The sequence below is a fragment of the Homo sapiens genome, chromosome 8, assembly GCF_000001405.40.
Source record: "Homo sapiens chromosome 8, GRCh38.p14 Primary Assembly".
Classification (NCBI taxonomy): domain Eukaryota; kingdom Metazoa; phylum Chordata; class Mammalia; order Primates; family Hominidae; genus Homo; species Homo sapiens.
In genome coordinates this window covers 29,748,273-29,765,834 of record NC_000008.11, presented here as the reverse complement: position 1 = coordinate 29,765,834, position 17,562 = coordinate 29,748,273, and the positions used below count along the sequence as shown (strand labels likewise).

Sequence of the window (17,562 nt, the reverse complement as noted above, 5' to 3'; positions counted from 1 at the left end):
GCAATACTTTCCTCAAACTGGCCCTTTCTTGTGCCTTGGTTTTCAAACCAAAGCCTGTGATTTGGTTTCTGCTTTGGTCTGAGACCTAAGTGAAGAGCTCCTCTCAGCGCTCCTCCCTGGGGCCTGAAGCCCTGCCCCTGGGCCGGTCTAGGTCACCTGTGAGTCAACCTGCTAAGAAGTATTGTGTCTATGTTTCCACACTGCTAAGGGTGTTATTATTTTAAGAGTTGGTACTGGGTTTTCTCTTAGGGAGAGAAATGTCTTTGTTGAGGAAAATTCCTTGATAAATCACTTGAAGCAGAAGGCAGAAGGTGACAGAGGGAGACGAAAATGTCACCAGTATCTCAAGACACTTGAAATAAAGTAGGCAAACCGGTCTGTACAGGGAACAGGTGCAGGGGGAGGGAGAAGAAAGGAGCCCCTGCCAAGAAGAGGTATATGTGGATCAGGAGCCCCACAGGCAGGTGGTTTTGTGTTCTTTCTGTGCAATGTGTGAGGTCCCTTCTCAAGTCCACAACATTTATTACATGGGTAACTGCCTTGTGTGAGTGCATTTTTTTAAAACAAAAATCAAGAAAGGACTGAGTTACACAAAGGAGACAACACTGCTTGTATTCTTTAGGAGAAAACAGAGAGGCTTCCTCTCAGATGACCCACTGGAACTAGGAAATGGAAGAAAGTGTAACAAAGGGAATATTTTCATGGAGTGGACAGAGTTAGGGGGAACAAATGCAGGAAGGCAAAGTACTTGGAGCCAGCAAAGGGGAGTTGTTTCCCCAGTGGGTGTGAAGGGGAAAGGGGAGGGAACAGTTCCTAAAACCAGAAGGTTGTTGCTGGAGCTGTCAGCTGGCAGCCATTGAGAGAGGGCTCCTAGGGGTGGAAGGAGGATGGCTGACTTGACCTCATCCTCTCTCCCTCTCTGATCTCCTGCTAGTCCCTCTCATTGGTTAAACCCAAAGGGATGCCAAAAGGCAAGCGGGCTTGTGCCTGTTAACCACCTAGGACATGCACCAGGGTGGGGAAGGATGGGACACAAATCTGGAAGGCCAATAAAAAAATAGTATGCCCTGGAGGTAAGGACCCTAGGCAGTGGTTATCTGAGAGCATGACCCTTCCAGGAATGCTCTAAAATACTTGAGATGGCTTTGATGGTCCACAGAATAGTGTTCAAACTAAACATGTCTAGTTTTTGTGGGGTTGGAGCACCCCATGTGCGATGGAGTTATGAAAATGTTACTACCTCAATTGCCCATCTATTGGCTTTGCTTAATAAAACTCACGATTTCCTCTGGAAACACTTGGTTCTGGGAGTTCTTTTGAGCTGTGGCTAAGTTTTTTTTTTTTTTTTTAATACTTTAAGTTTCAGGGTACATGTGCACAACGTGCAGGTTAGTTACATATGTATACATGTGCCATGCTGGTGTGCTGCACCCATTAACTCGTCATTTAGCATTAGGTATACCTCCTAGTGCTAACCCTCCCCCCTCCCCCCCACCCCACAACAGTCCCCAGAGTGTGATGTTCCCCTTCCTGTGTCCATGTGTTCTCATTGTTCAGCTCCCATCTATGAGTGAGAACATGTGGTGTTTGGTTTTTTGTCCTTGTGATAGTTTACGGAGAATGATGATTTCCAATTTCATCCATGTCCCTACAAAGGACATGAACTCATCATTTTTTATGGCTGCATAGTATTCCATGGTGTATATGTGCCACATTTTCTTAATCCAGTCTATCATTGTTGGACATTTGGGTTGGTTCCAAGTCTTTGCTATTGTGAATAATGCCGCAATAAACATACGTGTGCATGTGTCTTTATAGCAGCATGATTTATAATCCTTTGGGTATATACCCAGTAATGGGATGGCTGGGTCAAATGGTATTTCTAGTTCTAGATCCCTGAGGAATTGCCACACTGACTTCCACAATGGTTGAACTAGTTTACAGTCCTGCCAACAGTGTAGAAGTGTTCCTATTTCTCCGCATCCTCTCTAGCACCTGTTGTTTCCTGACTTTAATGATTGCTATTCTAACTGGTGTGAGATGGTATCTCATTGTGGTTTTGATTTGCATTTCTCTGATGGCCAGTGATGATGAGCATTTTTTCATGTGTCTTTCAGCTGCATAAATGTCTTCTTTTGAGAAGTGTCTGTTCCTATCCTTTGCCCACTTTTTGGTGGGGTTGCTTGTTTTTTTCTTGTAAATTTGTTTGAGTTCATTGTAGATTCTGGATATTAGCCCTTTGTCAGATGAGTAGGTTGCAAAAATTTTCTCCCATTTTGTAGGTTGCCTGTTCACTCTGATGGTAGTTTCTTTTGCTGTGCGGAAGCTCTTTAGTTTAATTAGATCCCATTTGTCAATTTTGTCTTTTGCTGCCATTGCTTTTGGTGTTTTAGACATGAAGTCCTTGCCCGTGTCTATGTGCTGAATGCTAATGCCTAGGTTTTCTTCTAGGGTTTTTATGGTTTTAGGTCTAACGTTTAAGTCTTTAATCCATCTTGAATTAATTTTTGTATAAGGTGTAAGGAAGGGATCCAGTTTCAGCTTTCTACATATAGCTAGCCAGTTTTCCCAGCACCATTTATTAAATAGGGAATCCTTTCCCCGTTGCTTATTTTTCTCAGCTTTGTCAAAGATTACATAGTTGTAGATATGTGGCATTATTTCTGAGGGCTCTGTTCTGTTCCATTGATCTACATCTCTGTTTTGGTACCAGTACCATGCTGTTTTGGTTACTGTAGCCTTGTAGTATAGTTTGAAGTCAGGTAGTGTGATGCCTCCAGCTTTGTTCTTTTGGCTTAGGATTGACTTGGCGATGTGGGCTCTTTTTTGGTTCCATATGAACTTTAAAGTAGTTTTTTCCAATTCTGTGAAGAAAGTCATTGGTAGCTTGATGGGGATGGCATTGAATCTATAAATTACCTTGGGCAGTATGGCCATTTTCACAATATTGATTCTTCCTACCCATGAGCATGGAATGTTCTTCCATTTGTTTGTATCCTCTTTTATTTCATTGAGCAGTGGTTTGTAGTTCTCCTTGAAGAGGTCCTTCATGTCCCTTGTAAGTTGGATTCCTAGGTATTTTATTCTCTTTGAAGCAGTTGTGAATGGGAGTTCACTCATGATTTGGCTCTCTGTTTGTCTGTTGTTGGTGTATAAGAATGCTTGTGATTTTTGTACATTGATTTTGTATCCTGAGACTTTGCTGAAGTTGCTTATCAGCTTAAGGAGATTTTGGGCTGAGACAATGGGGTTTTCTAGATATACAATCATGTCATCTGCAAACAGGGACAATTTGACTTCCTCCTTTCCTAATTGAATACCCTTTATTTCCTTCTCCTGCCTAATTGCCCTGGCCAGAACTTCCAGCACTATGTTGAATAGGATTGGTGAGAGAGGGCATCCCTGTCTTGTGAGCTGTGGCTAAGTTTTATCTGCCCCTTGGTAGCCATGCCTTGTTGGATCTTCATGGTCAGTTGGGCCCATTTCCCAGTACTGGGCCTTGCATGGTGGTGTACCCAGTGCCCTGTCTTGGCTATTAGCCTCTGTACCTTGTTATGACTGAAGAGTCAAATGTTCCAGACAAGTCCTGAGGTACTACCTTCTGGGTCTCAAATTTTCAACATTCTTGGCCATCCATGGAGCAGACAGTCACTCATCATCCATTTAGAGGCCTCAGGATTTCTTTTTAGTTCTATAGCCTGTATTTGTTTCCTGAATAAATATGCCTGCACCTGTTCCATCCATGTCGATGAGAGGTACAGGTAAAATGTCTATCTTGCTGGGCACAACGGTGCATTCATATAATCCCAGCTACTCAAGTGGCTGAGGCTGAAGGATTGCTTGAGCCCAGGAGCTTGAATCCATCCTAGGCAACATAATTATGTTTCCATATCTAAATAAATAAATAATAAAATACCTATCTGACATCAACCTTTTCAGGCAAGTGAATATTTTGAAGTTGACTTTGTTAATTTCAGAGTTGCCATTGATATTTTCAAGGAACTCGAATATTCTCATCGCATAGCTGGTTTGCTCTGCAGGAAACCAAAGAGGAGATGCTTTTCTATTATCATGGGAAATATGTTATTTTGAATGGGAATTTAATCGTCGGCCAAAATTTGCTCATTGGGGTTCATTATTGAAGTTGCACATTTTCCCCTCTGCATACAAAAATCCTGTTCTAATCTTTTTTGCTTCTGTCTGAGCAAACTGAATGCTGTTTAATTCACCTTGGCCTTGTTGAGAAGAACCACAGTGGTATTTTGCTTGAAGCTGTGTGTTCTGGCATCAGCTTACATAAGCAGAAAAACCTACATTTCAAAGACAGTACAAACACAAATGCATGCACCTGCTTCCAAAGGAGAGGCTATGAAAGAACTATCTGGGTGACAGGGGGAAAGTCAGCTGTAAAATGTGTGTATTGGTGGAGGCAGAGTAAGAACTAGTTTGCAGGTTTGTGGTGGGACCTAACTGGTCCCGTATATGTGCATGTGCATGGCACATTGTAAGTGGATATTATGTGGTGGCTGCACAACCTTTAATTGTATATTATTCTATAAATATATGGTGCACTTTAGCCATTGTTGATTAATGAGCATCTTTAGAGCAAGTAAGTGAATAAATGCATCAACAATTCTTCCCCCAAGATTAACATAGAATGAAATCTGATTTCAACGAGGAAAGAAAAATGCATAGTTGAGGAAAATCCATATGGATTTCTGGGACCCATGAGTCTAAATAAAATAATGCGTATGAAAATGCATAAAATAATACCAGCAACCAAACACGTACAAGGCAATCAGTTCATTTGCTTCCTATTATTACACCCCAGGAGACAAAAGATGTTTCAGTTAAATTTGGGAGCAGTTCAGACGGCCAGAAAACTAAATTTTCCCAGGTTCAAAGCCTATGTTTCCTAAAGAGAAATTATTTTAAAAAAATAGGAATATACTGTGGGTCTCTAGGATCTTAGACATCTGTCCCCACTCTGGAGGGAAAATGGAGTGCTTACTATGTGGTAGGCAGTGTAAATGTTATCTCATGTATACAGCAGCCCTCTGAGATAGATGTTACAGTGCCTACTTTACTTCAGTCACAGAGCTGGGTCTGTTAAACTACTAAGCCCAAGGTCTCTGCAGGCCACCATGCTGCCTCCAGGACATGTGTGGGCCCCCAGGTATGTGCTGGGAGAGATGGGGTTGGCTCTCATCAGATGGATCCTTTTATAGTATTGACATCGCTACAAATCGGTGTAGACACAGTCTTCCTCTTTTAGTGACTTAGAATGGCATGCTGCCTCTTATCTCTGTAATTAGTCCCTGCCACTCAATGAAAAGATGGTTCTGGGTAGTGAGGAAGCCCAAGGTTGGGAGGTTACCTGGTTCTAGCAGCTGTTAGGAGAGCAGCACAGATTACAGTAAATGGCTTGGCATATTCTTTTAGAAACTCCTAAACCCTCTTGATCTCTGCCGAAGGCCTTTTCGTATACACATGCACCCATGCGTGCACACGCACACAGGCACACACACACACACACACACACACACAGAGCTCCTGTGTCTGGCTGCTATCTGTCTGTGAATGCTCCTGCCTCCTATTTAAAATGAATCTGGGTTTATCTCTGCTGTTCATCTGGGCCTGAAGCAGATCATTCACATAGTACTTTTTCCCCTTGATATGGAGGAGAGGGTTAGCAGTCTGTGAGCTGGTTGAGAAGCATTTGGATCATTCAGGAATTGGTTGATGGAATTTTTTGATAGGTCTGTGCAGAGAGAATAGGTGTCTTTAGAAGTTAACTGATAGCATTACAGTGTGAGAACTGAGCAATTAATTTTCTTCCCACCTGGATTCCCAGCCTATATGCTCTCCTCCAGCTCATCTAGAAATTTTTCCTTCAGCCAGCACTAATCCACTACTATGTTTATAAGACTTCAGTCCCCCTTGTGAATCCCAAAGCCTGCCTGGCACAGAATACAGGAGCTAATCTTAAAGTCCCTTAGCAAAAATTGGTTTAATTTCTATATCCTATCAATGAACTATCTGAAGAAGAAATCAGGAAAACAATTCCTTTTACAATAGCACCAAAAAAATATTTAGGAGTAAATTTAACCAAGGAGTTGAAAGATCTGTATATTGAAAATGGTAAAACATTGATGAAAGAAGTTGAAGACACAAATAAGTGGAAAGATATCCTGGGTTCACAGACTGCAATAATTAATATTGTCAAAATGTCCACACTACCCAAAGCAATTTACAGATTTAATGCAATCCCTTTTAAAATTCCAATGACATTTCTCACAGAACAACAACAAAACATCTTAAAATTAGTATGGAACCACAAAAGACTGAATAGCCAAAGACATTCTGAGCTAAAAGAACAAAGCTGGAGGAATCACATTACCTGATCTTAAAATATATTACAAAGTTACAGTAATCAAAATGGCATGATACTGATTTAAGCACAGACACATAGGCCTATGTAACAAAATAGAGAGCCCAGAAATAAACTCATGCATTTATGGCCAATTGATTTGTGACAAAGATGCCAGGAACACACAATAGGGAAAGGATAGTCTCTTCAGTAAGTGCTGTTGGGTCAACTGAATGTCCACATGCAGAAGAACAAAATTGGACTTTCACATCATAGCATATACAACAATCAACTCAAAATTGATGGAAAATGTAAACGTAAGACCTGAAACTGTAAAACTACAAGAAGAAAACATAGGGGAAACGGTCCATGACATTGATCTGTGCATTGACTCCTTGGCTATGACTCAAAAAACACAGGCAACATAAGTAAAAATAGACACATGGGATTGCATCAAACTAAAAAGCTTCTACACAGCAAAGAAAATAGAATGAAGAGACAACCCGTAAATTGGGAGAAGTATTTGCAAACCATCCATAGATGAGGAGCATCTACCCAAAACATGTGAGAAATTCAATAGCAAGAAAATAAATAACCTGATTAAAAAATGAGCCAAGGACCTGAGCAGACATTTCTCAAATGAAGACATACAAATAGCCAACAGACATATAAAAAATGTTTAGTATCACAAATCATCAGGCAAAGGCAAGTTAATACCACAAAGAGATGTAACTTTACACCTGTTAGAGTGGCCATTTTCAAAAATATGAAAGATAACAAATGTTGGTGAGGGTGTGGAGAAAAGAGAACCTTTGTATACTGCTGGTGAGAATGTAGATTAGTACAGCTAGTACGGAAAAGAGTATGGAGGTTCCTCAAAAAACTAAAAATAGAACCGTTATATAATCCAACTATCCCAATTCTAGGTGTATATCCAAAGGAACTGAAATCAGTGTGTTGAAGAGATATTTGCCCTCTCAGGCTCATTGTGGCACTATTCACAAGAACTAAAATATGAAATCAACCTAAGTGTCCATCTACAGATGAATGGATAAAGAAAGTATGGTACATATTCAAAATGGAACAACTATTCAGCCTTAACAAAGAAGGAACTTCTATCATTTGTGAGAACCTGGATGAACATGGAAGGCATTATGCTAAGACAGTAGACAATCTCTTCATTCTAAATTCTGTAAGTCTGTAAATAGAGCTTAGGACCGAATTTTTGGTTGGCACCCATGGTGGTACCTGAACTCCCTCAGAACTTTTCACAAGAACCACCATTTAGCCAGGTCCACCTCCTGCTGTGTTTGCGCAATTGCTCTTTGGGCCCAAGGGCAAGGTCTAACATGTATTCCTATTAAATATCTTCTTGTTACATTCATCTTTTCTCTTCAACCTGTCAAGAGGAGTTTAAAACATGATTCTGTCATCAAAATAGTAGCTATAATTTGCTCATAGATTGGATGACCTTGCCTTCTCTGTTTTTGTCAATGTCAGCAATCCTTAACCTTTTTCTTCCCTAGCAACTGAGAGATATGATACACTTCCTTCAATAACACTGGCTGATTACTCAAGGCATTGGGGTGAGGGGATTGAGAAGCAAGACTACCTAAATATTAGGTTGCAAGGCATGCATAAAGTGAAGCTCATCCCCTTCCTCCCCGGATTCGTGCTCATAGTTTTCTGATTAGCTGCTTAGAATGGCTGATTCATGCTATACTAATAATTATATTGAAAATACAATGGTACATTATGAATCACTTCACTCCAGGTTGGCCTCCACCTGATCATTTGAAAAATGATCTACTCACCATTTGAAAAATATGTGCGTGTGTGTGCATGTATAATATATATTATATATATATATGTATGTATGTGTATATATATATGTATGTATGTGTGTATATGTATATATATATGTCTCTTTGTGTATGTATAATCATTCATAATTAATCTTCTTGGCTAGTAGGTTATCATGAGACAACTTGTTAAATGCCTTGTTAAGATCTACATACACACCCGGCTCCTGATCCAAAGTTCTTTCATGTACAAGTCGGAATTCGGAGCATTTGAAATTCGGTGCTTTTGAAATTTAGAATTCAAATACAGAGGATATTCAGACTTGGAAAGAGGCTAGACCTTAACATAGCACTTTGTCACAGCACTGCTCTGAGCTCTCTCACAACCAAAGCAGCATGTGTAGGCAATTTTGTAACTTCAACATCATGGCACAGATTTTCATATTGGAGGTATTTTACCTTAGATACACATTTCCTCAAGTCTTTTTCTGGCTTGGTTTATTACCTCTATTTCTTTTAGCCAATTATATGTTAGCCTTTTTCATTTCCTCTGAAAAGTCAATAAAAATGTAATTAGAGAAAAGTTCGGGTAGAAAACGCTATCATCCATTTCATTGTGTGGGTTGCTTAAGAAATGTTTATTTGTGGACCAGGAATTTCTTATTTGCATTGGCCCTGCCTTTGTGTATATATCCACTGCTTAGCAAAATCCTCTTCCTGAGCTGGTGAGCCTGGAAGCCTGGAAATGAAGGCCCATGGCAGACTTGGAACAGGTGTCCTTAACTGCCCCAAATTAACCCTTTCGGGCAGTGGGTTTCTTCTCTGCTCTCACCAGGGCAGGCAGCAGTATTTATCAGATGTCCACATGAAAAACAGGTGTTAGATGATGATTCAATATCTTAAAATATTTCACATATGCTTTTGGAAAAACAGCAACAATAATTAAGAAAACCCAAGAAGGAAGTTTGTTAATCAGATAAATATTTCTGTATTATCTACTGCATTTAAAAAAAACTACATTTAAAACAGGCTGGGCCCAAACCCTGGAAGGGAGTTGCAAAGCTGTGGATGATGTGTTCAGTTGTATAAAATGCCCTTCAGGAACTTAAAATCTAGTCGAGAAAATCATATTTTTTAAAAAAATGTGTTTTCTGTTTATAAAGATGACTTATGTTTGTTGTGAGAAATTTGGAAAATATATAAAAATGTAAGAAAGAAAATTCAAATCTCCCATATCCCACCACCAATAATCACCATTAACATTTGGTGTAGCTTTTAAAAGAAATGTGTATGTGTTTAAATTTCTTTTTGCAAAGCTGAGATTATATTATACACATTTAAATGTGCCTTTTCACCTACTATAGTTGTAACATTTCCCAAAGTCACTAAATATTATTTAAATCTATCTTATGGGTAGGAAGTATTCCATCATTTGGATGCACAATAATTAATTTAACAAATCTTTTTTAGGAATTATGTTGATTGAAACCATTGGCTATTACAAATAATACTGAAGTATATATCTTTGTAAATACATTTTTATGTACATCAATAAGTATTTCTCTAGGAGAATTTCCTAGATGTTGATTTAATGGTCTGAAAAATATAAATGTAATATAGGGTTTTAAAAAACAGTTGGATGCAGTGGCTCATGCCTATAATCCCAGCACTTTGGGAGGTGGAGGTGGGAAAATAGATTGAGCCTAGGAGTTCCAGGCTTCAGAGGGCTGTGATGGTGCCACTGCACTCCAGCCTGTGCAACAGAGTGAGACATCATCTCAAAAAATAATAATAGCAATAATAATAATAATACACATGGCCAAATTCTGTTCAAAATGCTGTAGTAATTTACACACACACCAGTGATGAATGAGAACACCCACTTGCTTTAACCTTGGACATTTTCATTTGTCAATTTGGTAGCTAAAAATAATATCTCATTTTAATTTTTGTCTCTTTGCTTCCTAGAGAAGTTGAACATGTTTTCTTGTTTATGGATCATCTCTGTTTCTTCTTTTGTAAATTGTGTTTTCATGTGTTTAGCCCCTTGTTCTTCTGGAGTTTCACAGTTTTCTTAATGATTTTAAAAGGTCTGTATATACTAATACTATTGTCCTTTGTGTGTCATGTATATTGCAAATATTTTACCTGATTTGTCTATATCTTTAAAATTTTTTAAGCTTACAGAATTTTGAATTTTTTGTAATTTGAATTTTTATGTAATCAGTACTATCAAGTTTTTTTCTATGGGATTCCTCTCCCCTTTTATGTTAGCAAAAACTTTGTCACAGCAAGATTAGCTGTTTGAATTTACATTTATATCTTGTTCTGTTATTGTTTCTCATTCTCTCTCAAACATGTAACTCTTTAGTCTATTTGCAATTTAGAGTATGATACATAGAGTAAAATTTGGCTTTGTCTTCATTCCAAGTGATTCACCCAGTTTGCCGTCATCATTCTTAATTTTCCCTCCAGCCAGTTTGAAATAGCATCTTAATCACATGTTAAATTATTGCATAGACTTAGGCATGTGTTTTTGTTTTCCTTTTCTGTTCCACTCATCTGCCAGTTTGCTAAAATCATTCTGTTTTATTTTTTGCAGCCAAATAACATATTCTAATATCTGACCTTAGGAGCCCATTCTCTCACAATTCTTGCCTTTCAGAATTTCTTGTTTGGTCTTCTGTATGGTCTTCTAAATACACTTTTAAATCATTTTGTTAAAATATCCACCCCTCTTTTTTGAGACATTTTGCTCTCCTGCCCAGGCTGGAGTGCAGTAGTGTAATCATGGGCCACTTGCAGCCTCAACCTCCCAGGTTCAAGCAATTTTCCTGCCTCAGCCTCCCGAGTAGCTTGGACCACAGGTGCATGCCACCACGGCTGGCTAAATTTTTTGGATTTTTTGTAGAGACAGGGTTTTGCCATGTTGCCCAGGCTAATCTCAAACTCCTGGGCTCAAGTGATCTACCATCCTTTGCTTCCCAAAGTGCCGGTATGACAGGTATGTGCTACCGCACCCAGCCAAAATACCTCATTTGTAATGGCATTGAAACATCATTAATTACATCTTAAATTAACTTGGAAAAAATTGATCTCTTTAAAACTTTGAGAGCCTTCCAGAAGAAACTGACAGACAGAAGACACACATCTATTTTCATTTGTGATGCTCCCTTCACTGGGGCATTGCTGATGGTAAAGCACTAGAAAAGTTAGAGGCCACAGCAATTCAGATAACAGAAAGGGAATTCAAAGAATATGAAATTGCAACAAATCCCTGGAGGATGGACAAGAGGAGGAAGCTGCAGCCTGCACTTTGTGTCAGGGACGGCCCAGAGAACCCCTAGACTAGGAGAAGGCAGATGTCTCAGAGGGTGGAGTAACAGTGGGGCTGAAAACAGGGCATTCATTGAAATTCTGTATATGGAACAGATAACTCCTCTGTCCTTTCCAAAAGCCCACAGGGAGAAAAGCCCAAGGCCAGACATCCATGCCCAAGAAAAATGGGAGGTTCCTTCTTATATAATTGCATCAATTGTCTGGGAAAACCAGTGTGGTCATATGGGTTCTAGAAACGTCTTTTTAAAATTTAAGTTCTGTTTTCCTGCAGTCAATCTTTTCCACAGGTTATCATCTTGATGTCTCTTTTGAGGGTTATATTCTACTTCTTAGTTGCAGAATCCTTTCCTTGGCTAAATATGTTTGGTTTTCCCCATGAACAGGGTGGGTGAATTCCCTCCATCGGCTTACTCTCAGAATTCCCCTCTCATATCTTCCTTATAAGAGATGGTTGATATAAATTTATATGATTATCAACTCTTACTTTTTCTAGTAAGAGTTTCTGTTAATGTCTCCTCCAAGGCTGCTCTCTGACTAATGTGGGGGAAGGTGGGAAGCAGTTTTTCTTCAGATTGGCTCTGTTGTCTACCAAATGTCTGGTACAGATGCCAATAACACAGTCCCTGTGGTTCAGTCATGTAGATAACATCTATGCCCAGATTACAGTCCTGATTTTGTCATGTTGTGGGGGGGCATAGAAAGCAGACTGTGAGACATGTGGGTTTATCTCTTCTTACCTGGCAGTGTGAGTGAGATCATCACTTTTTTATTTTTGGATATATGCAAATTATGTGAGAATTTCCGCCTGAGTGGGAAAGGTCACCATGAGTTGGAATGGTCACAGGAAATCACAGAATAAATTATATCTGAGTGAGGACTTGAAGGATCAATGGGATTCAAATTTTGGAGGAGGTTCCAGTCTGGCACAAGCACAGAGATACAATGCATAAGGTGTATTTGTCATGAAGAGAAGTGCCTTGCTCATATGGAGTATTCATGGTAGATTTGTTTTGAAAGATAGGTAGGGACCAGAGAGTCATGGGTCTTGGGCACCAAAAAAGGTGAGTTTGTGTTCTGTAAATCATAACAGGCAGGCCAGGCATGGTGGCTCATGCCTATAATCCCAGCACTTTGGGAGGCCGAGGTGGGCGGATCACCTGAGGTCAGGAGTTCAAGACCAGCCTGGCCAACGTGGTGAAACCCCGTCTCTACTAAAAATACAAAAATTAGCTGGGCGTGGTGGCACACACCTGTAGTCCCAGCTACTTAGGAGTTTGAGGCAGGAGAATTGCTTGAATCTGGAAGGCGGAGGTTGCAGTGAGCAGATATCGTGCCACTGCATTCGAGCCCAGGCAACAGAGTGAGACTCCGTCTTAAAAAAAAAAAAATTATAACAAGCAGAAATTTCATATGCTGAAAGATGTGTTCCACAAGGATTGAGGCAACCCCCAAAAAGAAGAATCTGTCTTCCCAGTGCTAAGGACAGTCAGCTCAGGGCACCAGGGAGGCACCCACCTGTCAAAGAGCTGGTCCCTGCACATTATGGTCTCCACGGTCAACTCCATCAGTAATCATCTAAGCCAGTGCCGCAAACACAGAGAGCAAGGCAAAGAAAAGCAAAGACCTTTTAGACAAAAGACAACACTAAAGAGTATACAATGGATGAAGGAGACTGCTGTGCCCTGGCACACAAGAACTCAATCACTGGTTTGCAGAAGCGGATGTGGCTTAAAGAGCATCCTGTGGCATGTTAGAAGAAGGAGCAGGAAGAAAGGCAGATGCAAACATAGATATCTGCTCCAGAGGAGGAAGGAGAGGAAGCCATGGAAGAAAACGTGGCTGTGCCCAGGCACGTGATCCAATGTCACAAGATTTCTAAGATTCCACAGCTAGTTTTGAAGCCAGGAACAATTTCTCAAGGAAGTGATGCAGCAACCTGGTATCATGAGTCAATCAGGCCCACTTTAGCCCTCAGGCCTTGGCTTATGTTCAGTGTAAGTGGAAACATGAGAGCCTCATACTACGATTTCAGTTTGCCTTTTTTTAGTTTATTGAGTCCAACGTAAAAGCTGAAATCACAAAGTAAAAATAATAGTCACATTCAAAAGGATCATTTTCTTGTTTCCCTATATTAGAAAGCTGACCTTTAGTATGTGCCCAATTAAAACAAGGGCTTTTTCTTTTTTCTTTTTATTTATTTATTTATTTATTTATTTATTTATTTATTTATTGAGACAGAGTTTCGCTGTTGTTGCCCAGGCTGGAGTGCAATGGCGCAATCTCAGCTCACGACAATCTCTGCCTCCCGGGTTCAAGCGATTCTCCTGCCTCAACCTCCCAAGTAGCTGGGATTAGGCACATGCGCCACCACACCCGGCTAATTTTGCATTTTTAGTAGAGACGGGGTTTCTCCATGTTGGTCAGGCTGGTCTCGAACTCCCGACCTCAGGTGATCCACCCGCCTTGGCCTCCCAAAGTGCTAGGATTACAGGCGTGAGCCACTGCACCCAGCCTTTCTTTTTTTTTAAAAAAAGAAGAATGATTGGTGTTCTTCATATCATATACATAATATACACTTATTATGGAAAAAACAGTTGAATAAAAATTATATTATTTTCATCATACCCAAATATTAGCCTATTGTTGTATTCTTTAATCTTTATACATATATACACATGTACATTTATACATATAAACACTGTAAACATAGGATTCTACTGCCCATTCTGTTTGGTAACCTTAAGCAGTGTAAATTCAAAGATGCCAAGATTTTATCTCTTTTTGCAACAATAATAAAAACAAACAGAATGTAATTTTCTAAAAACCCTTTTCTGCAGAGGTAATCATAGCTATTTGTTAAACTATATCAGTAACTGGGGGTGAGAGAGGTGAGTGAATACTAGTCGTTTGTAGGGAGTGGGCTTTACATTTCACCTTCACTGACTTGCCCAGCCTTACAGAAAGCCATGCAAGTGTTTCGTAGGTCCACAGCTATGAGTTGGAAACCACTTGCCATCAGAACCGAGGAAGAAGAATGAGGTGAACAGGGTGGGCCTGATACAGGTACTGTAGGAATTATCCATTTCCGGAAGTGGGAGGGCAACAAACTCATTTTCAGCTTCGGATACAGTCATGCATTGCCTCAGAGAAAATGCATCATTAGGTGATGTTGTGCAAACGTCATGGAGTGCACTTACACAAACCTAGATGGTATGACCTACGACACACGTAGGCTCTATGGTATAGCTTACTGCTCCTAGACTACAAACCCATACAGCCTGTGACTGTACTGAATACTGTAGGCAATTGTAACACAATGGTAAGCATTTGTGAATCTAAACATAGAAAAAATACAGTAAAAATATCACATTATACTCTTATGGAACCACCATCATATCTGCAGTCTGTTATTGACCAAAATGTCATTATGCAGCACATGACTGTTTTTAAAGAACAAATGAGTCACTTAGGAAAGAACACATGAATCTTTTTTCGTAATTACTCCCCATCACGGGTTCATTTTCCAATTCACTAGCTGTACTTTGAGCATATTCATTCAACAAATGGCAGACATGATGCTATGGGTGCTGTTCTGGGTGCTGGTGACAGTGCAACAAAGCAGAAAAACTCCCACCTTCTTGGAGCTTACCTTCTAGTAAGCTAGAAGGGGGAGGCAAAGAAGAAATAAATACGTGGTATGTCAGATGGTAAGGAGAATAATGGGGAAAATAAAGTAGGGAAGGGGATTGGGGTTGTCTGTGATAAGGGGTGAGATTTTAAACACTGGAGGTCAGAAAAGGCCTCACTGAGAATGTGAGCTTGAGCAAAGACCCAAAGGAAGTGAGGGACTGGGTCATGTGGCTGACTGGCCAACGACATTGCAGGCAGCCAATAGCAAGTGCAGAAGGCCCAAGGCAGGGCGTGCTTGGAGTATCCAAGGGATGTAAGGGAGCATCCAGCTCAGAAAGGCTGCCAGTGTGTTAGTACCCGAGATAGAAGAGAGAGAATCAGAGAAGATGAGACTAGCGGAGAACAGGGGAGCCAGTCTTGGTAGGGTCTTGTAAGCTCCTGAGTGATTTGGGAAAACACTGAAAAGATTTTGGACAAGAGGGCACCATGATCTGATTAGGGTCACTCTGGGAGCTGTTTTCAGACTGCAGCGCCTGTAAACATAAATGTAAGGACCCCAGAAATAGGGGCGTCAAGGCTGGAGATGGCAATCATAATCAGGGAGAGGAGCCATTGGGGAAGCTGAATCTCCAGAGGCAAGAGCAGGACCCACGGAGTCCAGTCTCCTTTACCCACACAGTAATTCTCCTACACCACCAACCTTGGAGGATGGGGTTTGGACTCTTGGCAGCTGCGCATAAGGTGGGCTCTCAGTAAGGCTTGTGGATAAATGGAAGAAGAAAGAGAAAACAAAAAGGATCCTACTGATGGAGGCTGCTGGTCAGGACAGCGATGGGCAGGCCCAGGAGGGAGACAGGTTGCAAACACAGGTTCCCTGTGCAGAGGGGAGAGCAGCCTGCAGAGCTCCCATGTAGGGGAGAGCAGAGCCCTTGACCCCACAGGGGTCCAGGTGCCTGTTCTGATCATCTCCCCAACATGCATGCTTCATTCTGTCATCTGGACCCCTGGGGACTTCCTCTTGGCTGCTCATTATGGTTTTACTTCTCTTTAATTCAGCTTTAGAGCTGTAAGGAGAGACATGGCATAATTAATGAGTTGAGCTTTTAGTTTTTGTCCCAGCTGCCAAGGCTACCGAGGTAAAGATGCTTTTGCAGTTTTTTTCTATTGTTAAATATTGGTTTACTCTTCAAATTTTCCCCCACTTTCCAATATCTATAGAATGTACTTATGTATGTCCTTTAGGGTTTGCCATCTGTCAAAAAGCAAGTACAGATGAGGAAGGAGAGGAAGCAAAGATCAGCTAGGGCACATTGTGGTTGGAAAATATGCCAGCTGTGATTCAATTCTAAATTTACTACAGATTCATTGCAGAATCCAAATCACCTTTTCATAAAATGGAGAAATATTATCTTCTAATCTAACACAGAGAGATCCCGTAAACACCCAGAGAGCAGTCGCTGCCTTCCTGTTATGAAGGCTTATGTTTTCTACACTATTGGTCATCTATCTCCAAGGGCTTCTGGCTGTCCAAGAAACTGTGATGGAGCCAAAAACACTTTCCACCAGAGTCCCCACTATGATGGTCACAACATTTACTTACTGGTTAAGACTGCAACTTCCAGATTGCAACTGACTGCTGGTCTGTGGAATGATTTATATATATATATATATATATATATATATATATATATATATATTTTTTTTTTTTTTTTTTTTGAGATGGGGTCTCACCCTGTCACCCAGGCTGGAGTGTGCAGTGGTGCAATCTTGGCTCACTGCAACCTCCACCTCCCAGATTCAAGTGATTCTCCTGCCTCAGCCTCCCAAGTAGCTGGAATTACAGGCATCTGCCACCAGGCCCAGCTAACTTTTTGTATTTTTAGTAGAGATGGGGCTCCACCATGTTGTCCAGGCTGGTCTCTAACTCCTGACCTCAGGTGATCCACCCACCTCAGCCTCCCAAAGTGCTGGGATTACAAGCATGAGCCACTGTGCCCAGCTGATGATTAGTATTTTTATGTGTTCTTAAACAGATCTGTATTAATTTGCTATGGCTGGCACAAAAAAATTCCACAGACTGGGTGGCTTCAACAACAGAAAATATATTTACTCACAATTGCAGTGGCTGGAAGTCCAAGATCAAGGAGTCTGCAGGACTGGTTTCTGCTGAGGACTCTTTCCTTGTTTTGCAGATGGCTGCCTTCTCAGTGTGTCCTCGAAAAGTCTTTATTCTGCATGCAACCATGTCTGTGACCAAATCTCCTCTTCTTATAAGAACACCAGTCATACTGGATTAGGGCCCACTTTAAAGAGCTTATTTTAACTTAACTCTTTAAAGACTGATATGGTTTGGTTTTGTGTCATCTCCCAAATCTCATGTCGAATTATAATTCGCAGTGATGGAGGTGGGGCCTGGTGGGA

General features: G+C 40.6%; 1 long non-coding RNA gene across 3 annotated transcripts in view, besides 1 other annotated feature; it reads right to left on the bottom strand.

Annotated features, from left to right (window-relative positions):
* Window positions 1-17,526, bottom strand: part of LINC02099 (long intergenic non-protein coding RNA 2099) — a 50,184-nt gene extending 32,658 nt beyond the window's left edge. For 2 of the 3 annotated variants that reach the window (NR_125815.1, NR_125814.1), the window contains exon 1: window positions 17,256-17,526. This is a non-coding gene — a long non-coding RNA (long intergenic non-protein coding RNA 2099). Of the gene's footprint in view, window positions 1-13,537; window positions 16,206-16,741; window positions 16,783-17,255 lie in introns of those variants that run through there. The other variant, NR_125816.1, reaches the window with a different exon arrangement.
* Window positions 15,971-16,060: an enhancer, noted in NCBI's record as "active region_27205". NCBI's record gives its function as "activates an Ori minimal core promoter by ATAC-STARR-seq in GM12878 lymphoblastoid cells {active_cell/tissue: GM12878}" and the evidence as "EXISTENCE:reporter gene assay evidence [ECO:0000049][PMID:35858748]".
* Window positions 17,527-17,562: the final 36 nt, after the last annotated feature.